Source organism: Homo sapiens, chromosome 17 (assembly GCF_000001405.40).
Source record: "Homo sapiens chromosome 17, GRCh38.p14 Primary Assembly".
Lineage (NCBI taxonomy): Eukaryota > Metazoa > Chordata > Mammalia > Primates > Hominidae > Homo > Homo sapiens.
Window position 1 is genome coordinate 11,735,001 of NC_000017.11, and position 24,685 is coordinate 11,759,685.

At 41.7% G+C, this 24,685-nt stretch overlaps 1 protein-coding gene across 6 annotated transcripts in view, besides 1 other annotated feature; it reads left to right on the forward strand.

The window, feature by feature from the left end:
* DNAH9 (dynein axonemal heavy chain 9) overlaps positions 1 to 24,685 on the forward strand; it is a 371,279-nt gene that overhangs the window by 136,531 nt on the left and 210,063 nt on the right. For all 6 annotated transcript variants that reach the window (XM_011523703.3, NM_001372.4, XM_017024292.3 and 3 more), the window contains 7 exons: positions 3,880 to 4,037; positions 7,175 to 7,313; positions 9,797 to 10,084; positions 12,556 to 12,766; positions 17,833 to 17,960; positions 21,568 to 21,676; positions 22,545 to 22,692. In XM_011523703.3, the coding sequence (XP_011522005.1) occupies positions 3,880 to 4,037; positions 7,175 to 7,313; positions 9,797 to 10,084; positions 12,556 to 12,766; positions 17,833 to 17,960; positions 21,568 to 21,676; positions 22,545 to 22,692 (1,181 nt within the window). The remainder of the gene's footprint in view (positions 1 to 3,879; positions 4,038 to 7,174; positions 7,314 to 9,796; positions 10,085 to 12,555; positions 12,767 to 17,832; positions 17,961 to 21,567; positions 21,677 to 22,544; positions 22,693 to 24,685) is intronic.
* Positions 1,343 to 2,542: an enhancer, noted in NCBI's record as "MED14-independent group 3 enhancer chr17:11639660-11640859 (GRCh37/hg19 assembly coordinates)". NCBI's record gives its function as "activates an origin of replication core promoter dependent on BRD2, BRD4, P300/CBP and CDK7 cofactors, and independent of MED14, by STARR-seq in HCT116 cells {active_cell/tissue: HCT116}" and the evidence as "EXISTENCE:reporter gene assay evidence [ECO:0000049][PMID:35650434]".

Genomic DNA, 24,685 nt, shown 5'->3' on the forward strand with positions numbered 1-24,685 from the left:
TTGGACCCCATTCCCAGAATTTCTGATTTGATTTATCTTGGAGGTAGAGCTAAGAATTTGCATGGGAATTGGTTTGGACCCAAGGACACGTGGTGTGGGATGGAGGTTAAGTGCCTTATGTCTTCTCAGCCTCAGAGTCCTCACTGGTAAAATGTTAGGTCTAGATCAGGGCTTGTCAACCTAAGCACTATTGATGCTTTGGGCTGATCATTCTGTTTTGTGAAGATCTATCCTCTGCATTGTGGATGTTGAGCAGCAACCCTGGCCTCTACCCACTGAATGCCGACAGCAACCCCCATTCCTTGCTGTGACAACAAAAGTGTCTCCAGACATTGCCACACGACCCCTGGGAGAGAGGGATTGCAAACTCATTCCCAGTTGAGAACACCGGTTCCTACATAGCTTTCCATTTTTTTTTGTTTTGTTTTTTTGTTTTGTTTTGTTTTCCTTTTTCAGATGGAGTCTCACTCTGTCACGCAGGCTGGAGTGCAGTGGCGCGATCTCGGCTCACTGCCACCTCTGCCTCCCAGGTTCAAGCGATTCTCCTGCCTCCGCCTCCCAAGTAGCTGAGATTACAGGCATGTGCCACCAGGCCTGGCTAATTTTTTGTATTTTTAGTGGAGACGGGATTTCACTGTGTTAGCCAGGATGGTCTCGATCTCCTGACCTCGTGATCCGCCCGCCTCGGCCTCCCAAAGTGCTGGGATTACAGACGTGATTATTTGTCTTTTTAATGGGTGGCAAAACTGTCTTTTCTTATTTTGTGGAAAGTATGCCTCTAAATTATAACAAACATGATAGTTTTCAAAGTAAAACAAATTGCTCTGAAAACGTATATGCTTGATGAGAAACTGGTCTGTGGCTGGCACAGCACTCCTTCTGGTACAAGAGCCTTTGGGGGAAGTAGCTAAAAGCATGTGCTTCGGCACCAGATTGCCTGGCTTTTAAGCTTGAGCTGCTCCACTTACCAACTGTGGGGTTTCAGGCAAGTTTCTTTTTTTTTCTTTTAACTTTTTATTTTGAACCAATTTTAGATTTATAGAAAAGTTGTAAAAATAGCATCGAATTTCTACATATCTCACTTTTAGCCTCCCCTTAATGCTAACATCTTACATAAACATAGGACAGTTTCTTAACTGCCTTCTGCCTCAGTTTCTTCATCGGTAAAATGAAGATCTGAGACTACCTATCTTAGACAACTGTTAAAAGCTTGGGATGGAATAATTCACAGAAAATACTCAGGATCGTCCCTCGTACATATTAAGTGCTCAAAAATGTCAGTTATTATTTTTTGTTATTCACTGTGGCTTTAAGATCTTCAGAAAACGATGCATTTTCGATAGAGAAACAGATCCCAATGGGTGAGATGTGCCTGGCAGCCTTAGCTATCAGTTGCCAAACGACCTGTGTGTGTACTTCCGTCTGGCTGGGCTTGCATTTAATCCATACATCCCTAGTTCACCTGCTTCTCCACTTCCCCCTCCCTGCCTCCAAGCATCCTGAAAGACCCTCTGGCCTTTCCCAGGACCTGGACGTTATCAAGGCCTCTTGGACCCTGATCATTGTTATGTTCCAGTGATTTGCTCTGCGGACCGCAGTTGCTGCTAAAGCCTGTCCTGTACAAGCCAGCCTAACCAAAATTTCTATGAGCACCGATGCTCCAACATTAACTGCATCTTTGAGTCTGTTCAACACTCTCCCTCAAGAGCCCCTCTACAGAATTTTACACAAAAGCACAGATGCCTCCAATCCAAAAGTGCATCATAAATTCTTGCTGAGCGTGAGGTTTCTGGGCTTCGGTGTTTCGAGAGAGAATGCTGAGTCAGAATGAACAGCAGAAAAGGTCCCAGGCTCGTGCCTTAGTCTTCGCCCAAAGGTAGCAGAGCAACTTATAAACGCTAATTAAACTTGCTTTCCCACTCCCTAATAAGGCGAGTGCTCTGTATATTTTATGGATGGGAAGACTGGGGACAAAGGAGAGAACCAGCCTTTGCCAGTCACGTAACTTGCAGGGTGATGAAGGCTGCAAGAGGCTCCATGGCAGAGCTGGGCTGGGCTGTGAGCCCCACGCAAACCAGCAGAGCTTGATCTGTTTGGCCAGCGTCCTGGCTGCTGAAGCCTGCTTCTGCCAGGATGGCATTGATATTCTGCACGTAGAAAAGAAGTCTCAGTTTCAAACTAATTGCTGTGAGCTCAAACGCATACAGTCATTAGCGCTTCACTCTGGGAAGGGAGCTGAATCCTAATTGTAGAACTGTCATGCATCCAGGCAAACTGTGTACTCTGGAGACAGCCGTGCCCAGTGGTAGATGGTCCAGCTGCCCCCCACCCACCCCTCCCACCGTTTCACACACACAACCCTACAGCCCCATTTCCACAGAACTAGGCTACCCTTTGCTCTTCTAGCACCCTGGACTTAGCCGACCTGCTGAGGCTCATTCAAAACCTTGCACCGGCCCCAGCTTTTGGGTTTTGCTTCCGAGAACCTGAGAGGCTGGAAATTCCCAAAGACCTTCTGGGGCCGGGCTGGACAAGGCTGTGGGCTAGCCTGAAAGTGTGTCCCTTTCATCTTTTCTCTGTTGCTGATCATTTTTGCTTATGCATTTCCAAGCACCAGGTGTGACAATAAATGGTTGAATTTCACTTCTGCCTCTCCTCCCACTGCTAGAGAGTAATCTAGAACATATATCTGACTGGGCCAAGCTTCAGGATAAATCCTCCTCTGACTCCAGTCTACATTTAAGAGAAAGTCTGATTTTCTAAAGAAAAAAGCACTAACAGCCCTCTGTGTCTGACCCAGCCTACCTTTGCTCCATCTGTAAAGGGTCACCTGTTCTGGAGGTATAGTCTGGGGGATGGCTATGAGGAGTTAAACCAAGACAGGGACCACAGTTGCGATGAGGATGGTCACATGGGTATCCCTCATGTTAGCTGGTATTTCTAAGCAATTTTCTTTAGGCTATGTACTTCACAGACTTTATTTCATTTACTTAGAACAAGCTCAGCAGGTAACTATGGCATCCTCACCATCACACAATACCTGAAAGCACAGGCTGCAGGATCCATTTGCCTGGATTCAAATCCTGATGCCCCAATTAGTAGCTGTGTGGCTTTGGGCAAGTGTTTCCATCTCACCATGCTTCTGTTTTATCAGAGATGGGGATGATGTAATTGAAGTGCCCCCCTCCAAGCATGGTGAAGCTCAAATGAGTTAATACATGAGAAGTGGTCAGAACTGTGTCCGGCCAGTGGTCAGCCCTAATACACTTCAGCCATTACTACAGAGAGAACCCACATTCAGGGAGTTAAACACCTGTTTGCTGTTCCCTCCCATGCTCTTAGCCACAGTGTCATAAATGTGGCTGTGGGCAGCCAGATTCATTTTTCTGTTTTGTTTTGAGACGTAGCCTTGCTTTGTCAACCAGGCTGGAGTGCAGTAGCATGATCTCGGCTCACGGCAACCTCCACCTCCCTGATTCAAACAATTCTCCTGCCTCAGCCTCCCGAGTAACTGGGATTACAGATGCACACCACCATACCCGGCTGATTTTTGTATTTTTAGTAGAGACGGGGTTTCACCATGTTGGCCAGGCTAGTCTTGAACTCTTGACCTCGAGTGATCTGCCCGCCTTGGCCTCCCAAAGCACTGGGATTATAGGCATGAGCCACTGTGCCTAGCAGTGGCCAGATTTCTTTTAGACATGCAACCAGGGCCTGTCAGTAAAGGGTCTGGGGTGTGGTCATCATGCCTGTCTTTCAGTGAAAGGGTCCACAGGACAGTTCTTCGTGCTGTGTGTGACTACAGGGTTCCAGCTTTAGTTATGATCCCTCCACTAAAAGGCAATTGAGGAATTTCTCGCTGATTGATTGGTTCACCAGGTAAAAAGCATTCAAGATGCGATTAGAGATAAGAAGCAGTGGTTCAGCTTCCTTGGGGAGGAGATCAGCCTGAATCCTTCTGTCGGTATCTTCATCACCATGAACCCAGGCTATGCTGGCCGCACAGAGCTGCCAGAGAATCTCAAGTCTCTCTTCAGGTGAGTGTCAGTTCTGCCCCATGCAAAAGCCCCAAAAGAGAAGTTTCTTTCATTTTTCCACTTAAAATGTGTGACATATATTTTAAAGAAAATTTGGAACATTTGGAAAAGTAGATTTGTAACAACCTTCTTTAATGTCTTTAATGCAGTAAAATTGCTTTTTGCTTAATTGTGTTCTGTTCTCCTCTGTATATACATTTTAAATCCATACGTTGGTAGCCTGCATTTGCGGTCTACATAGTTTCGTGTTGTTTTTATTTCGTAGTCTCTCATAATCATATCCTAAATATTTTCTTCTATTAGATATTCTTGATAAATCTCATTTCATGGCTGCATACTTTTTTATCAAGTGCATGGTTTACAATGTAATTAACTACTCCCCCATGGTTAAATATTAAGACTTTCTAACATTTAAAATAAATTTATGCATAATGCTGTAATGTACATCTTTGCATATAAATCTTTTTTTTCCGTATGTATGATTATTTTCCTTGGCTAGCTTCCCAGAAGTGGAATTACTGTGTTAATAGGTAGAAACATTTTTAAGGCTCTTGATACACATTGCCAAATTGCTTTCTAAAAAGAGTAGTACCAAATTACACTCCTCGTAGCGACGCATGAGAGCACCTCTTTTATTTCACCCTTGCTACCGGTGGACATTGCCATATTTTAAACTCTTCTTTATTTTGATAAGAAAACACAAATACATTTCATCGAAGTAGCTGGAGGCTGCATTCTTTTTCCAGAAAAGAAAAGTTGGCCCAACAAAGAGAAAACTGAAGAATGCTTCATGGCTTCTGATCTTCTGGTTACTGAACTTTTACCTAAGTGAGATAGACTGTGGGGTGCTATGACAAAACTGTTTTGTCTCATTTTTGGACTCATAAACACAGTGCTGTCTGTCCGGAGAGGTTGTCAACACTTTACTGGATTTCCAGAGGCATAGGAGATCGCTGGGCAGCTCCCTGAGTGCTTCACTCTCTCAGTCATGGCAAATTCCCGTGTCGCTGGGGTGACGGGGCCTTCTCCTTCTTCAGCCAGGTCCCTGTGTTAAGCAAGAGCTGCTGGAATGCCAACAAGCTGTCTAAACGGGTGCTACAGAAAACTGCATTGTTGACCATTTGTTTCTACAAAGTAATTATTAAATAAGCCTTGTGTTACAAATGATTATAGAAGTAGGTGATCACCCAGATAAGAATTCTTTCTTACCTTTTTTTCTTGCTGAATTTTTTTGCTGACTGGAATTGTCTTTGCCAGTTCAGGGTGCCATAATAAAAATACTGCAGACTGGGCGGCCTAAACAGCAGACATTTATTTCTCACAGTTCTAGAGACTGAAAGTTCAAAAGCAGGGTGCCAGCACGGTCAGGCTCTGGTGAGGGCTCTCCTCCAGGTTGCAGGCGGCCACCTTCTTGCTGTATCCTCACATGGAGGAAAGAGGATGAGCTAGCTCTCTGGGTAGCGCTCCACCCTCATGACCTAATGACCTTCCAAAGGCCCATCTCCAAATACCATCACATTGCATTTTGGGGGCACACAACATTTAGTCCATAACACATACCCATAGAAGGAAATTTGGAAATAAACATATTTTTCAAAATAGTAAGTACAAACATCTACTTTTACATTTAATTCTCTCAAAGGCCCTATGAGGTAGTACTAGTTTCTCCAGTGTTTAGTGAAGAAACAGATGCATTCAGCAAATTGCTCAGGGTAGTAACCCTAGTTACTAGGGTTAGCTAGTGAACCAACTAGTAAGCGGCAGAATGCTAGAGTTTGAACCCAGAGCCCCTATTCCTCCCCGCCCCCAGTCCTGTCATCCAGGAACAATCAGTGTAACCATTTGGCATTTTTTTTCCCAATACTGCAACAGTAGCGCATTTCTTTTTCAAAATTGGGATCAGACTATATATAGTTTAGTATCCTACTTTCATTAACTAATGTTTCTTTGTCATTATATAATTTACCTTTCACACCACTATTTTTCATGGCTGCATAGTGTTCTGTTGTACAAATGTATATTTACCCATATGTTCAGGTTGCAAAATAATTTTGAGAATTTAAGCAGCATTTGGTTGCTCCTTTGAATTTGAATACAATGTAAAATATTTCAAGAAAAAATGTGCTCGAATGAAATGTTTTTGAAAATTTCATATCAGTATAGGGAAAATGCAATTAAATAAATGTAACAACCTATTACATACCCAACAAATTAAAAAAATGTAAGTAATTTTAAAATCAGATGTTTTTAGTGCCAGAGGAAAAAAATACAACAAAGCCTTCTATAAATCCCTTTCTATATTATTGTATATGCCATTCTGTGTCAAGATAGGGTTAATAAGTATTAGGTTGGTGCAAACATAATTGCAGTTTTGCTATCGAAAGTAATGGCACAAACCGCAATTATTTTTGCACCATCTTAATACATATTTTAGACCTCATCATTAGAAATTTACATTTGTATTCAAACAAGTACAGGATACACCCTAGGTGTCTAGGCTTAGAGGAGACACACATTTGGAGAATGAAGAATAGGGGAACTCTCAGTTTCTTGAAAGTAATGGCAAAAACCACAGTTACTTTTGGACCCACTTAATACATACTTTAGGCCTCATCAAGAGAAATTTACATTTGTGTTCAAATAAGTACAGGATAAGCCCTGGGTGTTTAGGATTAGAGGAGACACACATTTTGAGGATGAAGAATAGGGGAACTCTCAGTTTGTTGTAGATACCCAGAGAAACTCAATTCCTTATTCTAAGCCTTGAATCTATTCTAGGCAATTTGCTTTACTAATTCATGCCTTGTGTAAGACACACTGAACTCAAGTCACAAGACTTGAGTGGTAGCTCCAAGTCTGCCCCTGCCTGCTAACATTATCCAGCCCCTTAAGAAGGCGACTTCATTTCCTTTATCCTTAGCTAACTCATCTCTAAGTTGAAAGTCTTCATGCTAACTGCAGCAGCACATAGAATAAATTGAAAGTCTTAGATGAAATAATGGCTCAGGTCTTTCCATGAGTTTTTGCACTCACAGATGCCTCCATGTGTGATCTCGGCCAGTGCTTATTTTCTTGCAGTCTCCTCTTCAACACTGTACTTGGGAAACTGACTGGGCCTTCTGTCTTTCTATACTCAGGCCTTGTGCAATGGTGGTTCCAGACTTTGAATTGATCTGTGAAATCATGCTGGTGGCAGAAGGATTCATTGAAGCCCAGTCATTAGCCAGAAAGTTCATCACTCTTTACCAGTTGTGCAAAGAGCTTCTCTCCAAACAGGTAGGATCTCTAGGGAGGCTGTACAACCAAGCACCGTGCAACAGCCCCAGCTCTGGAAAAGTTCTGGAACAAATGTATTAGGAAAACATACTCAAGCTTTCTCATAGAAAGTCACTGTACCCATAAGCATGTCGAAACCTCTGAACACTTCCATATTAATGATTTATGTTCACTTTTTTAGCTCTGCATTTTTCAAAATTAACCTCAAAACTCCATTTTGTAATAGAATACTTAGCAACACATCACAGACACCAGCGTCCCATGAGAGACATTACAGTGGCCAATAAAAACCCCTGGAGGAAATGGTCTGTACCTGAAGGGGCATAGATGAGGAGGGTTAGGGAAGCAGGTTAAGTGTTAACCAGCTTTGAGCTTCTCATAGTTGCTTGGCGTTACCTGTAGCTTCCACCTAAGGCAGGAGGAAATTCACAGAAAAATTGCACCTTAGCAAAACATTACCTGCAAGGTTTCTGCCTTGAACGGAGAATTTCTTTTTGTCAAGGATAGATGACCAAGCTTCCCTGGGCTGTCCCCAATGAGCTTTGGGATTATCTTGTTTTGATCACCTTTACTGCCATAAAACAGGCTCTCTCAGCCATGTGGAGTCTGTCCAAGATGCAGAAAATCCTGTTTTCCTCATACTACTTTTCTCATTGTATCCCCTCTCTAGGTTCTTTCCCAACGTTGACTTCCACTTTTACGGCTTTATCCCAAACCTCTCTTCTGAGCTCTAAACCTGTACATTCAGTGATCTGTACCACAGCTCCCCCGAGTGTTTAAAAAGCTCCTCCAGCTCAGCATGTCTAAAGCTGATCTCCGTCAGCTCTAAGCCCAAGCTTCCTTCTCCTGTGTTCCCAGCCTCAGTATGCTGACCCCTCATTCACTCATTTGCTAACTCTAGGACCCTGGGAGTTACCCTGGACCATTTCCTCTTCCTTAGCCCTATATATAATTTTAAATGAACCCTTAATGATTCTATGTTCTGGATATTTCTCAGACAAGTCTCATTTCCTTTCCCTATTCATTGCTACCACTTGAGTTCCAAGCACCCATATCTTTTGCTTAAACTATTGCAACTGCCTTTCTACTAGTTTTTCCACCTCTCTTCTAATTCCTCAGATCTGTTCTTTAGCCACTTGCTAGAGTGATTATTTAAAAACGCTCCTCACTGGTCCCAAGATAGAGACCAATGTCCTTATCACTCTCTGCTAAATACTGCAGGGTGTTCTGTCTCCTCCTACCTCAACAGCAGCGGCTCACAGCTCTCTCCCTGTCGTGTGATGCTCCATCTCCATTGATCTTTTCTGAGTTCCTTGAAATTGATTGTCTTCTCACCTGAGCCTGTGGACATCCTGTTCTCACTTGCCTTGACTGCACTTCTTTTTCGTCTGTGCCTGACTGAATTCTACTCCTTCAAGGTCTTCTTTAATACCATTTCCTTAGGGAAGTCTGATCCATATCCTGGGTACAGCCACTGTGTTCTTTGTCATCATTGCATAGCACATTTTTCCTTGGCTGCATTTTTTTTTTTTTTGAGATGGAGTCTCCCTCTGTCGCCCAGGGTGGAGTGCAGTGGCGTGATCTCGGCTCGCTGCAACCTCCGCCTCCCAGGTTGAAGTGATTCTCCTGCCTCAGCCTCCTGAGTAGCTGGGATAACAGGCACCCACCACCAACCCCAGCTAATTTTTGTATTTTCAGTAGAGACGAGGTTTCACCATATTGGCCAGGCTGGTCTCGAACTCCTGACCTTGTGATCCACCTGCCTCGGCCTCCCAAATTGCTGGGATTACAGGTGTGAGTCACCGCACCTGGCCTCCTTGGTAGCATTTGTCATGGCTCTAATTAAGTAGCAATCTGCTACAAATCAAGTAGAGGAGCTTGGGCTTCAACAGAAGTCTGTCTGAGTTCAGACTCCGTGCTCTGTTCTGCCCACTACAGCTCCTTCCCACACCATGCTGCCACCTGAAGCCTAGTATCAGCAGTGTGGTCCACTCTCCCACAGACCCTACTAGCAGCACTGTGACCAGGGGGTTCATATTTGACAGAACCCACTTTAAGGAGCTCTTCTTTAAACCTCTTTTCCCATAGAATGTGAAGGCCTCCAAGGTGGCACATGTAAGCTCAGCGTCTACCATCTCTAAGAGTTAACATGGCTCCCTCCTTGACAGCCCTTCCAATTCTACCTGCTGAGTGTGCAAGGAGTAGCCAGATAGGTTTGAAAATGGTTCTGTTTGATCTCTTTGACCCCCCACATCATTTGTATGTTCTGTGTCTGCCCTGCTGTCATCACAACTGGAAAAGTAGCAAGTGTTAGACCAGGAACTAAATTCTGGGATCATCATTTTCTAAGTCATCCCTTCCCACGTCTCTGTCCAGGCTTCAGAGGTGACCTAATGCTCATAGCATATCTATGATTCTGCAGACACTCACCCCAGCACATGGTGTTCTGTCTCTCTGTCACTTTGATCTAACACTGCCCACAGGATCACTACGACTGGGGCCTACGGGCCATCAAGTCCGTGCTGGTGGTGGCAGGATCCCTGAAGAGAGGAGACCCTGACCGGCCTGAGGACCAGGTCCTGATGCGCTCCTTGCGGGATTTCAACATCCCCAAGATTGTGACTGATGACATGCCCATCTTCATGGGCCTGATCGGGGACCTCTTTCCCGCCCTGGATGTCCCCCGGAGGAGAGACCCCAACTTCGAAGCTTTGGTTAGGAAGGCGATAGTGGATCTGAAGCTCCAGGCTGAGGACAACTTTGTGCTCAAGGTACATGTGGTTTTTCCTCCCAGGATTTCTCTATCTCTTACTTATTGTCCAGGATAATGGGTTATCCTTCATCCATAATCCAAAGGGTTGTTTTAGATGTACAAATATGTATCTAGTTAGTAATAACTCAATTCATTTCAACCACTCTTAACTGGGGACCCACAATGTGGAATGCATGGTAGGGAATACAAGGGAAAGTTGGAGGATCCTTACTTTACAGCCCTTCCATTCTGTTTGGTGTACCTCAGCCTGAATGCCAACTATCTGCTCACTCACCCATAAATGAAAGGACAAAGACAGAGGCCAAGATCTGGCCACATCTACAGAACCTCCACTCAATCCTACTATCCTGGATAGAGACCAGCAAAAGAGAACACCCAAAACCAGCAGAGGAGAATACCCCTCCCAGCCTCCTGGAAAACACAGCACAGCTCCTTATTTAACCTTGAGGCTTACCAGATATTGAAGAAACCCGACAACACGCAAGATAAAGACAGATGGACAGACACAGACACACACACACAACAAAAACAGCCAGTGAAAATAACAAAGAGAATATTCTTCAAGTTATAATTAGCGTCTTTGAAGGAAATTTTAAAAAATGATATCCATCAAACAAGAATTAGATGCCATTGTACAAAGAAAGCACTATTGGAGAATTATAAAGACCTCTTTTAAATGTAAAATTGTATCATCTATGGCATTCAAAATTCAGTGAGAGGATGGGAAGATAAAGGCAACATCCCAGGATAAAGTTATAAGCAGTATTATGTATTGTGTGTGTGTGTGTATGGTAAAATATTCACACATGCACACACACACAGATACAGAAAGTGCGAGAGGTGAGATGATGTATAGAGGATCAATTTAGGTTATCCAACATGTTACCAGTAAGAATTCTAGAAAAAGAACAGAAAGATAACTAGAGCTGGAAAGACATGTATCCACATTGGAAAGACAGTACTGAACAGAATGACTTCAAATGAATCTGTGCAGTGACACATCATAATGCAATTTCAGAGGTCAAGAGTCAAGAGAAAAGAATAAGTCTCCTAGTTGAGTGAGGAGGTAGTACTAGTGTATTAATACCTGAGACTGGGTAGTCAGGAAAGAGGTTTAATTAACTCACAGTTCTGCATGGCTGGGGAGGCCTCAGGAAACTTACAATCATGGCAGAAGGTGAAGGAGAAGCAAGTCCTTCCTCACAAGGCAGAAGGAAAGAGAGAGAAAGAGTGGAGGGGAAATAAAGAGCTGCAGACACCCTTTGTCTTCCTTGCACAGTGCATTTTTCCTTTGTAACATTTATCACAGATCTAATTAAATAACAATCTGCTACAAATCAGGTGGAGGAGCAAGGGCTTGAAATGAAGTGTAAGATCAGACTCCATGCTCTGTTCTGCATGCTACACCTCCTCCCTGCACCATGCTGGTTATAAAACCATCAGATCTCGTGAGAACTCACTCAGTATCACAAGAACAGCATGGGGGAAACTGCCCCCATGATCCAACCACCTCCCACCAGATCCCTCCCTCGACACATGGGGATTCGAGATGAGATTTGGGTAGGGACACAAAGCCAAACCATATCAACAAGTGATCCAGGAAAGGAATGAAATTTAAAAGGAGCTCAGAATCTCTTGTCAGCTAAATTGGATATTTGAGAATAAGAAAAGCAGTCCTTCAAAGTTTTTAAGGGAAATGATTTCAAGACTAGAATTCTATACAACCAAATTATCATCCATGATATTCTCAGACTCATAAATGTTACTTCTTATGCACCCTTTTTGAGTAAGTTACTTGAGGACATACTACAGCAAAACAAGAATGAAAAACAAGAAAAATATTGTGAGATTCAAAAAAATCAAGAATCAAGAAAAAAAATCCTGAAATGACAGCCGTTAGCAGGCCTAGAAAGCAATCAATTCAAATTAGAGCTGGAAGTCAGTAGTCTCCCAGAAAAGAGAACCTTAAGAAAAGTGAATTTATTCAAAGCAAGAATAGAGTAATAAGCTGAAAGTTCTTATGTGTTTTATTGAACTTCTAAGTTGTGGGGACTTGTAAGTTATGTGTACAAAATCAATTGTTCCCTCCTCTCTGTTTCCACAGCACCTTATAAATACCTCTAAGATAGTACTTATCCTCTTACCTTAGAATAATTTGTCCACATGACTTTCTTCTCCATCACACTATAAGATCACAGAGGGCAGGAGGATCACATCTGAATCCCCCTCGCCTGGCACACTCTGTAGCACTTGGTTGGTGACTAATAATTATATAACTGAATGATGAATACAGGAACAAATGAATCATGTTGCCCCTATATTTCAGACCTCCTGACATCTTGGGGTAGATAACTCTTCCTCTGTTGACTTCAGGTCTCACTTCAGACACCAGCTGGGGTCACAGAAGAGCAGTTGGGATGCAGGTGAGTCACAGGCTGGTCCCTCTGGCTGAATTTCCTGCCTCCTCAGGTGGTCCAGCTGGAGGAGCTCCTGGCTGTGCGGCACTCTGTATTTGTGGTGGGTGGCGCTGGTACCGGCAAGTCACAGGTGCTGAGGTCCTTGCACAAGACCTATCAGATCATGAAACGGCGCCCCGTCTGGACTGACCTCAATCCCAAAGCAGTCACAAATGATGAGCTCTTTGGCATCATCAATCCAGCCACAGGAGAATGGAAGGATGGTAAGAGTGGGATTCTCCCAGGAGAAAGTCTCTGCTAGCCTCAGAGTCCCTGTGGCGGGCTTGGATGCAGTTGGGTGAATTGCAGAAGCAAACATTGGACTGATCTGTTTGGAACCGCGGAGGGAGACAAAAAAGCCAGTAGAAAGGGAGAAACCAATTTTGGCTTGCAGGGGAACTTCAGTTTTTCAGATATTCTCCCTCCTTGGGGACCTCTTCCAGCTGCCTTTTAGAGAGTGCATTTAAAGAGGATAAAGCTGGCTGGGCACAGTGGCTCACGCCTGTAATCCCAACACTTTGGGAAGCGGAGGTGGGTGGATCACGAGGTCAGGAGTTCGAGACCAGCCTGGCCAATATGGTGAAACCCTGTCTCTACTAAAAATACAAAAAAAAAAAAAAAAAAAAAAAAAAAAATCAGCTGGGCGTGGTGGTGCACATCTGTAGTCCCAGCTGCTCAGGAGACTGAGGCAGAAGAATTGCTTGAACCCGGGTGGTGGAGGTTGCAGTGAGCCAAGATCGTGCCACTGCACTCCAGTCTGGGTGACAAAGCAAGACTCCATCTCAAATAAATAAATAAGATAAAGCAACATAGGCATTCAGCTGTAGTTCACTGACTCTGGAGTATGAGCCGTGGTGTAGAGTGTTAATGCTGCCTGGCAGTAGACTTCAAGTATGTGTTGGGTAGGGAAGCCCACGGCTCATTCCCAAAGAAGTGGTGCAGTCTGGCATCCTATAAAGGGCACGACTCCCCTATTTGATGTTGCCCCAGCAGTGATGGGGAAGCTGCATGCTACAGAACCTTGTGCGCATGCCAGGCCCCTGATGATTATCCATTCAATCTCAAGAGGGCCCCTAGAGCCATATTCCTTTCTACAGTGATTCAGAGGCCCCCAACCCTGGGTGCTGATCTCAGCCTTACCTTCAAAGAACTAAACTTCACCAATAGACATTGTAAAGGGTCGTTTGGCACTGGAGGACAGCAGAAAAGAAAGTTGAGGGGGAAAAAAAGAGGTCCTTGAGCTGATAAGGAGGACCTCTTTCTAAAACCTATGTAGCTTCTGGAATGAGGAAATCTCAGCTCCTTCCTGATGTTTCAATGTCTGACCACATCCGGGTCAAACTCTCTGGATTTCTCTAATTTAGGAGCTTTCATCTGAGGTCTAGAACACAAGGATTTAACAACCAGAGTCTAATTTTTATTTTGCTGTTAATGAGACTTAGCATCTTTCCTTCTTATTGATCTTAGTAATTTGCTCTTTTGTGATTTTATTTCCTGTTTTTCTTACCAATTTTTAAGAGGGTTTTTTTTTGTTTTTTTTTTTGTTTTTTTTTTTTTTTTGAGACAGAGACTCACTCTGTCGCCCAGGCTGGAATGCAGTGGCACAATCTCAGCCGACTGCAAGCTCTGCCTCCCAGGTTCACGCCATTCTTCTGCCTCAGCCTCCCGAGTAGCTGGGACTACAGGTGCCTGCCACCACGCCCAGCTAATTTTTTGTATTTTTAGTAGAGACAGGGTTTCACCGTGTCAGCCAGGATGGTCTCAATCTCCTGACCTCATGATCCTCCCGCCTCAGCCTCCCAAAGTTCTGGGATTACAGGTGTAAGCCACCATGATGCCAGGCCAAGAGTTTTTTAATATATCAAAGATATTAACCCCTTATCTGTCACATGCATTGCTAATGCTTCCCCAACCTATTCTTTGTCTATAGACACTTTATTCTCCCATGCTCTTTTTAACAAAGGAAATTATGCCTGTCTAGTCTTTTTAGCATCTGGGATTTCTATTAGTTTATAATTCTTCAGCTGCTGATCTAGTATCATAAATTTGGTCAAAAAAGATTCTTTTTACATTAACATTTTTTATCCATCTGGAATTTATGTTGGGGCTTAGTATGAGGCAGGGTACAGAATCAACTTTATTTCCTTCTAGATGGATAATTGATTGTAACCGTACCATTTATTAAGTAAACTATCCTTTCCCTCTGAATTTAAACACCAGCTTGTCATTTACTAAATTGCATATGTATATTGAGATCTGATTCTGGGCTTTCTATTCTGTTTGACTCACCTGTTTATCTAATCCTATACTAATGTCATTTTATTTCAGTTACAATCATTTTATAACATATTTTAATATCCAATGAGGTAAGTCCCTCCTCAGTAATCTTTTGTAATTTTATTGTCTTGTCTCAAGCACTTCTTTTTTCATATTAAATATAAGCTCAATAATATAATTCAAACTTTTAAGTCTGAATTCTAGTTAAAATTTTATTAGATTTATACATTAAATTTGGGAAAATTGACAAGATATAATAATCACAAGTCTGTGTTCACTGAACAAGGTAACTTCGAAGTAAATGGAACATAGCCTTTAAAATATGTTTAGGGGCCAGGCACAGTGGCTCATTCCTATAATCCCAGTGCTTTGGGAGGCCAAGATGGGAAGATCATTTGAGGCCAGGAATTTGAGACCAGCCTAGGCAACATAGTTGAGACCCCATGTCTACCAAAAAAAAAAATTTTTTGGATAACTTTAAAAGAATACAAATCAACAGGTTATTTTAGTTTTATTTATTTATTTGTTATCTGTTTTTTATTTTCAAAATTAATTCCAGTAAACAGAAAAATAAGTACATAAAGGAATTGGCAATTATATCACCAAACTCAATATAATAACAAAGTTATAGAACTTTTTATCCCATAAATAGAAAGTATTCCTTTCCTGATTGGTTCATGTAACATTTCCAAAAATTAAAAATGTAATTGGCTACAGAGAAAGCTATAATGAATTCAACAATATCAATTTACAGGTCACATTCTCTGATAATAATGGAATAGAATTAGAAACAAATAGCAAGAAAGTCACCAAAAATGATTTTACTACTTGCAAATCAAGAAATGCTCTCTTAATTCCTGTATCAAAAAGGAAATTTAATTGCAAACCTCTCTAGGATGCAATAAAAAAAATACTTCATACAAGAACACCTATGGGCTCCATCTAAAACCTCTAAGGGAAAACTTTTTAAACTCACTTTATTATAAAAGGTAGGCTGGAAGTAAAGGAAGTTAATATTCATCATAAGAAATTGTTCAAACTAAACACAAAGAAAATGACGGAAAAGGAACTGATAAAGATAAAAGCTGAAATTAGTCACTAGGAGGAACACAAACAGATTATATAAAAGATAAATAAATGTAAATATTGGTTCGCTGTAAAGACCAATAAGATAAGTCTATTGTGAGAGTGATTAATGGGAAAAAAGAGTAAATATACATATAATTTGGAATTAACAGACAAGAGTAAAGTAGAAGAAAATATTTAATTGATGACACATACTTGAAAAACTAAAAGAAATAAATCAACCCCTAGCAAAATATAAATTAATAAAATTTCTTCATTAAGAAGTAGAAAAATTGAGTAAACTAGTGAAAAGAAAAAGTTAAAAAAGAGTAGAGCAAAAAACAGATAATTTCAAAATCATGAAAAGATAACTCTGAAATTATCTTACAGAGCAAGAATAATATTAATATCAACTTTTATGTGGAGCCAAAAAAACCCAATGTTACTCATTAATATAGACACAAATATTCTAAATAAAATATCAGTAAGGAGAATCAAACAGTATCTCAAAAATAATACCCTTTGACCAAGTAAAAGCTATTCCAGGAATGTAGGGATAGAGCAATTGTTTTTAACAGTATTAACATAAAACATTAACAAACTAAAGGGGAAAATCATTTGATCACTAAATAGATACTTAAAATGCAATTCATTCCTAATAGAAAATTCTAAGTAAAGTAGGAATAGAAGGAAACCCCTAAAATATAATAAATGCTCTGTACCTAAAGCTGAAATGAAAACAAAGTCATTCTGAATAATGATACAGTAAATTTCCATGAAAAATAAGGAACAAGTTAGGGATGCCTATTGTCAACATTATTGCTTACTGGGGTTCTAGAAAATGTAATAGGACAAGAAAATGAAATAGATGGTATAAATTGGAGGAAAGAAAAAAAAATTAGAGGAAAGGAGAGAAATTATTGTGTTGTTTATTATGCAACTTTATACCTAGAAAATGTATTAGACATTACTGAAAAATTACTAGAATTAATAAGAAAGTTCATTAAAGGCAACTGAACATAAAATAAATACACAAAATTTGGTAACTTTTCTCAATACTGGCAAGAGTCAATTAAAAATAGAAGTGCAGGAGGAGAAAATTCTTTTCACAGTAGCAATAAAAATCATGAGATATTTAGGAACACATTTAACCAAACACATATATTTTAAAATCTGTAAAAATGTATTAGGGACATAAAGCCATATGTGAATAAATGAACAGACGTACCATACTATTAACTAGGGAAGTTTAATATCATAAAAATCAATTCTGCCCAAATTAATATATAAATTTCAGGTAATGACAATTAGAATCAGATGGGCCGCTTTCCAAAGCTTGTGTTTGGCAAGATTCGCCAAGACTGCAATTACAAAGCATGAAAACTCTACCTTAAAAAGTTTAATGTAGTTTCATCATGTCATAGTTACTTGCTGTAATGATCCACTTTGTCACTTAAAAAGCTTGTACTATCAGGAGTTGTTCTTGTTCTTGTTAATGTTATGAAAAGTTAGACTAAAGCACAGGGAGAATGCACCTTGGGCACTGCCAGGTTTTTGCAAAGCAAGATATAAAACCAGATCTGCATCCTGGCCAGCATGGTGAAACCGCGTCTCTACTAAAAATACAAAAAAATTAGCTGGGCATGGTGGCACGCATCTCTAGTCCCAGCTACTCAGGAGGCTGAGGCAGGACAATCGCTTGAACCCAGGAGGCAGAGGTTGCAGTGAGCTGAGATCACACCACTGCACTCCAGCCTGGCAACAGAGCAAGCCTCCATCTAAAAAAAAATAAAGTAAAATAAAATAAAAATAAAACCAGGTCTGATCTGCCTTTGCATGTTCCATGTACGCCCCCTTCTGTGTGTTGTAGCTAAAGGGGGAAAGCTGTGTTTAAGTGAAAGAGGATTAATGAAGAAATGGAAAATAAGGTGTCAGTGGTTCCTTTTAGGATTGTTCTCTTCCATCATGCGGGAGCTTGCCAACATCACCCATGATGGGCCCAAGTGGATTTTACTGGATGGCGACATAGATCCAATGTGGATTGAATCCCTGAATACTGTCATGGATGATAACAAGGTATGAAATTGGGGGATATCCCTAGATCATTTCTAATCACCTGTGAAACCAGTCACCCAGTGTGGCAGGCATACTTGCAAATCTAGATTCCACATGATGGCTGGCTCAGAGTAAGGAACTATCATCAGCATCTTCACCACACATCTCTGCACTGATAAATTCCCAGCAGCAACTTTTGCTTACATCAATGGTACTGCCATGGCTCACACCAGTTTTGGCATTATTATAATTTGCATCAGAATGTTCTGCACATAGACTCTTTAGTATTTAGAGTTCAAAGCAGTCTTAAGTCATTCATTCACATCTTTTTACTTTTTCTTTTTATGCTCTTCTAGAATAAGGATATTGAAGATCAGAAACATTCCAAGCCTGTCAAACATCTTTCATGGTGTCAAATATTGTTCCATTGAGAGGCTATTTTATTTTTTATAAACAATGAAACCTCTGTAGTCCCAGCACCCTGGGAGGCCAAGGCGGGCAGATCACCTGAGGTCAGGAGTTCAAGACCAGCCTGGCCAACATGGTGAAACCCCCATCTCTATGAAAAATACAAAAAATTAGCTAGGCGTTGTGGCAAGCGCCTGTAATCCCAGCTATTCAGGAGGCTGAGGCAGGAGAATTGCTTGAACCCGGAGGCAGAGGTTGCAGTGAGCCGAGATCGCGCCATTGCACTCCAGCCTGGGCAACAAGAGCGAAACTCCATCTCCAAAAACTAGCTGGTGGCTGTTAAGCTGGTAGCTGTTTGTAAGCTTGTTTAGAGAGCATGTCCAGATTACAAGTTTTAAAATGCCTTTAACGTTTACAGGATTGTTAGAATAAAAGTATGCTCTCCTGGAGAGAGTACTTGATTGTTTTTTCCACTTTTATTTTAGGTTTGAGGGTACCTGTGCAGGTTTGTTACGTAGGCAAACTCATGTCACAGGGGTTTGTTGTACACATTATTTCATCACCCAGGTACTAAGTTCAGTACCAATAGTTACATTTTCTGCACCTCTCCCTCCTCCTACCTTGTACCCTCAAGGGGGCTCCAGTGTCCTGTCTGTTGTTCCCTTCTTTGTGTTCACGAGTTCTCATCATTTAGCTCCCACTTACAAATGAGAACATGTAGCATTTGGTCTTCTGTTCCTACATTAGTTTGCTAAGGTAATGGCCTCCAGCTCCATTCATGTTCCCAAAAAAAAAAAACAAAACATGATCTCATTATTTTTATGGCTGCATAGTATTCCATGGTGTGTATGTACCACATTTTCTTTATCCAGTCTGTCATTGATGGGCATTTAGGTTGGTTCCATGTCTTTGCCATTGTGAAGAGTGTGGCAATAAACATTTGCGTTCATATGTCTTTATAGTAGAATGATTTATATTCCTCTGGATATATGTCCAGTAATGAAATTCCTGGGTCAAACAGTATTTCTGTTTTTAGCTTTTGTGGAGGCACCATACCGCTTTCCACAATGGATAAACTAATTTACACTCCCACCAACAGTGTATAAATGTGTTCCCTTTTCTCCACAACCTCACCAGCCTCTGTTCTTTTATTGACATTTTAATAATAGCAATTCTGACTGGTGTGAGATGGAATCTCATTGTGGTTTTGATTTGCATTTCTCTAATAATCAGTGATGTTGAGTTTTTTTCATATGCTTTTTGGCCACAAAAATTGTCATCTTTAGAAAAGTGTCTGTTCATGTTCTTTGTCCACTTTTTAATGGTATTGTTTGTTTTTTTCTCATAAATTTGCTTAAGTTCCTTATAGATGCTGGATATTAGACCTTTGTCAGATGCATAGTTTGCAAATATTTTTCCCATTCTTTAGGTTGTCTGTTCACTCTATTGATCATTTCTTTTGCTGTCAGAAGCTCTTTAGTTTAATTAGATCCCATTTGTCAATTTTGCATTTGTTGCAATGGCTTTTGGCATCTTTGTCATTAAATCTTTGCGCATTCTTATGGCCAAGATGGTATTGCCTAGGTTGTCTTCCAGGGCTTTTATAGTTTTGGATTTTACATTTAAGTTTTTAATCCTCTTGAGTTAATCTTTGTATATCATGTAAAGAAGGGCGCCAGTTTCAGTCTTCCACATATGGCTAGCCAGTTATCCCAGCACCATGTGTTAAATAGGCTTCCCCAAATGCTTGTTTTTGTCAGCTTTGTTGAAGATCAGATGGTCATAGGTGTGTGGCCTTATTTCTGGGCTCTCTATTCTGTTCCATTGATCTATGTGTCTGTTTTTGTACCAGTACCATGCTGTTTTGGTTACTGTAGCCCTGCAGTATAGTTTGAAGTCAGGTAACATGATGCCTCCAGCTTTGTTTTTTTTGCTTATGATTGCCTTAGCTATTCTGGCTCTTTTTTGGTTCCATATGAATTTTAAAATAGTTTTTTCTAGTTCTGTGAAGAATGTCATTGGTAATTTAGTAGGAATGGCATTGAATCCATACAGTGTTTTGGGCAGTATGGTCATTTAATGAGTTTGATTCTTCCTATCCATGAACACGGGATATTTTTCCATTTGTTCGTGTAATCTCTGATTTATTTAAGCAGGGTTTTGTAATTCTTTTTGTAGGGATCTTTCATGAGGTACTACTATAAAAGGAACAGTATTAATATGAAATGTAAGTTCTTTTCCTTTAAGAGTTCCATTGTTCCAATATAGTCTAGTTCATTCAAATCACCAACATCAACTTAAACTGTTTAAATAACTTTTTTTTTCTGACTCAACACACATACACACACACACACACACACACAGGGGTGGTGGTGGAGAGTGCATAGGAAGAAAGAGGATTATTGTAGAAAATTTAGAAAATACTATTCATCACAAAGAAGGAATATATTAGTTCGTTTTCACACTGCTGATAAAGACATACCAGAGACTGGGTAATTTATAAAGAAAAAGAGGTTTAATGAACTGACAGTTCCACGTAAATGAGGAAGCCTCACAATCATGGCAGAAGGTGAAAGGCGCGTCTTACATGGCAGCAGACAGAGAGAATGAGAGCCAAGTGAAAGGGATTTCCCCTTATAAAACCATCAGATCGACCTGGCGTGGTGGTTCAAGCCTGTGAGCACTTTGGGAAGCTGAGGTGGGCGGATCACGAGGTCAGGAGATCAAGACCATCCCTGGCTAACACAGCGAAACCCCGTCTCTACAAAAAATACAAAAAATTAGCTGGACATGGTGGCAGGCACCTGTAGTTTCAACTACTTGGGAGGCTGGGGCAGGAGAATGGCATGAACCCTGGAGGCAGAGCTTGCAGTGAGCCAAGATTGTGCCACTGCACTCCAGCCTGGGTGACAGAGCGAGACTCTGTCAAAAAAAAAAAAAAAAAAATCAGATCTTGTGAGACTCACTCACAACCATGAGAACTGTATGGGGGAAACCACTCCCATGATTCAATTGTCTCCCACTGGGTCCCTCCCACAACACATGGGAATTATGGGAGCTACAATTCAAGATGAGATTTGGGTGGGGACACAGCCAAACCATATAAAGGAAATAATTCTCCATAATCCCAACCAAACCAATAATAATCAGCCAAATCCCCACAGGCTGGCAAGGCACCTCCCTCCTTCCTCACTGGCATGCCCTTCCCTGTTGTCTCCAGGTGCTGACATTGGCCAGCAATGAGAGGATTCCTCTGAACCCCACCATGAAGCTCCTCTTTGAGATCAGCCACCTGCGCACAGCCACTCCAGCAACTGTCTCTAGAGCAGGTACGGCCCAAGAAGGGAAGAACCACAAAGCTACTCCACTTAGGGAGGTACCTCTGGCTTCACACGTAGTTTTGCTGGCTCAGAAGGAATCTCCACATGGGAGCCAGAAGCCTCACGTGCAGTTTTGTGAATTTGGAAATGTTGTGGTAATAAGAAGGGAAATGGCTTTTGAGCTGCACAACTATCCTCTGCACAGAAGTGTCTAACTTAGGCTACTTTTAGGCCAGTTCTAGCCTCCACGTCAATGGAGATGACCAAATATCACTGTTTATCACTAACTCCTGGTGCAAAATTGCAACTCTATCCCTTAAGTTTCATCTGTCTCCACTGAACAAATTTATTAACAGAGACTGGAAGATTTTTTTTTTAATTGTGTGGCAAAATCAAACTTAAAGAAGCAGGGAGTAGAATGTCAGTTGCCAAAGGTGAGGGTTGGGGGGCAGGGGCAGATGTTGGTCAATGGGTACAAAATTTCACTTCTGCAGGATGAGTAAGTTCTAGAGACCTGCTGTACAACACAGTGCCTATAGTTAGCCATACTGTAGTGTGCACTTAAAAAAATTGTTGGGCCGGGCTCTGTGGCTCACACCTATCATCCCAGCACTTTAGGAGGCTGGGTTGGGCATTCTCCTAGCTTTTGAGAATCTCTCTAGGATTCTCAAAGCTGCTCCCCATCCATCTATCATCAGTCCGCTGGAGTTGGTCCTCAATAGCAAACCCATTTACCCGCTCACATCTTGGCCAAATCTCCTTTTCTTTTCAGTCCAGTCTTCTGTACATTTTCCAAACAGAGAAAATAACTCCCTGGGGTGAAAAATATAATGATGTATATGGAATATTCACTAAACTGTATTCTCTGTGCTCACAGGGATCTTGTACATCAACCCGGCAGACTTGGGATGGAACCCTCCAGTGAGCAGCTGGATTGAGAAGAGGGAAATCCAGACAGAGAGAGCCAACTTAACCATTTTGTTCGACAAGTATCTTCCAACCTGCCTAGACACACTCAGAACCAGGTAGGCCAAGAAACAAGGAAGATAGAGAGTTAAAGCAGCAATAAAAAGCCCATGGGTTCACACCTAGTGTCCTGCTGATGTTCTGTCCTGTCCCAAAGTCAGATGTTCCCAGAGCGATCTCCTCCAGGCATGGCAGATGGCAAAGGGGACACACATTAGGATGGCCATGGGATGCCTGTTGTCAGCTCAGGCATGAAGTGAGGTGAGTGAAGGGGAGGAAGATTGAAAGTCCCTTTCGTGAGTGCCACGTGGATGTATGTGAAGGAGGCTGCGGGTTGTAGTATCAGATTACAATCCAGACACTCAGATCCTTCTGTGTACAGGGCAAGCAGCTCTGCATTTGTAATAAGTAATCCATAGGCCAGATCAACAGACCTAGGGGTGAAAATGGCACTTATTGGTGACCTGTGGGGCCCACTCCCCGTCCCTGGCTGTGTGTGTTCACGGCCCAGATAATGTGGGTATAATGTACCATCTGACAGTCCTGCCCTGCTGGATATGGTGAGTTTACTTTTCCTCTTATAGGTTTGTAAAAGTAAGAGCAACAAGCCCTGACCACTTATCACTAAGCAAGAGGTTAATCACTCTTGACCAAGAGGATACTTACTACAGCAAGAATACTATCTGTGTCAGCACAGGGAGCTGCCCATGTTTGGAACCTGCTTTTGTTTTACACTCTTTTTATGGTTGTTGTTGCCATTTGATGCATCATTCTGTGAATCTGACACCCATCCCTGTAGTGGAGGCAAGAATGGGCCCCTGAGGCTGGTGCTGTGAAGGCAATGTGACTCAGAGCCCCATGAAGATGCCACAATTTAGGGTCAGGATTATGTTTCCCGGAAACTAAAGTCCATCATTGAAGTTGATCCCTGCCTCTTTCTTCCTTGGCTTGTCAAGCATGGGATATGATTGTGCCTCCAATGGTTTGCAAGCATGGAGGCCAAGGGGAAGGGAGCACTTCAGACTGCAGGAAACGATACTGCAACAGGGCTCCAGGTGCTCTCATTCCATATGCCCCGCCCCACACCCTGAAAAATCCACTCACGTTCAAAGTGAATTTTGTATACCTAAAAATTGAGTTGCAGTCAAGTAGGTGACATTGTGGTCTATTTTCGTTGTTTAATGAAACATTACTTTTGATTTCATAGTTTTTCTATTTCAGGGTCAATAATTATTATTCCAACTCAACATTTGTATAAGCCTTTGAAAGGCTTTCAGTCCGTGGGTGACCCATGGGCTCTGTGGCCTTGGGATGTAATGGGCTAAAGCAGCCCGTGTAGCTAAAAAAGTCTGGAAGTGGAAAACAGTAGTTAATATCACAGATGGACTAGGGCAGCCAAGAGTTAGAAAACCAGAGAAGGGTAAGGTTTTAGGAAAATAGTCTATCCCTGTTCTTTTTTTTTTTTCTTTTTTTGAGTTTTAAAATGTTTTTTAAAGTTTTATTTGTATAGATTTAGGGATGGAAGTGCAGTTGTGTTACAGGGATATATGGCATAGTGGTGAAGTCTGGCCCTTTAGTGTAGCCACCACCTGAATAGCATACATTGTATCCAATGGGGGTATTTCAACCCTCAACCCCCTGCCACCCTCCCACCTTTTGGAGTCTCTGGTGTTTATTATTTCACTCTATATTTCCATATATACCTACTGTTTAGCTCCCACTTATAAGTGAGAACATGCAGTTTTTGACTATCCATTTTGCGGTCATTTTGCTAAGGATAATGGACTCCAGTTCCATGCATGTTGCTGCAAAAGACATGATTTCATTCTTTTTTATGACTAAGTAGTATTCCATGTGATATACATAGGTATATATACACACCACTTTTTTTTTTTTTTTTTTTTTTTGAGTCGTTGTCTCGCTCTGTCACCCAGGCTGGAGTGCAGTGGTGCGATCTTGGCTCACTGCAACCTCCACCTCCTGGGTTCAAGTGATTCTCCTGCCTCAGCCTTCTGAGTAGCTGGGATTACAAGTGTGCATTACCATGCCCAC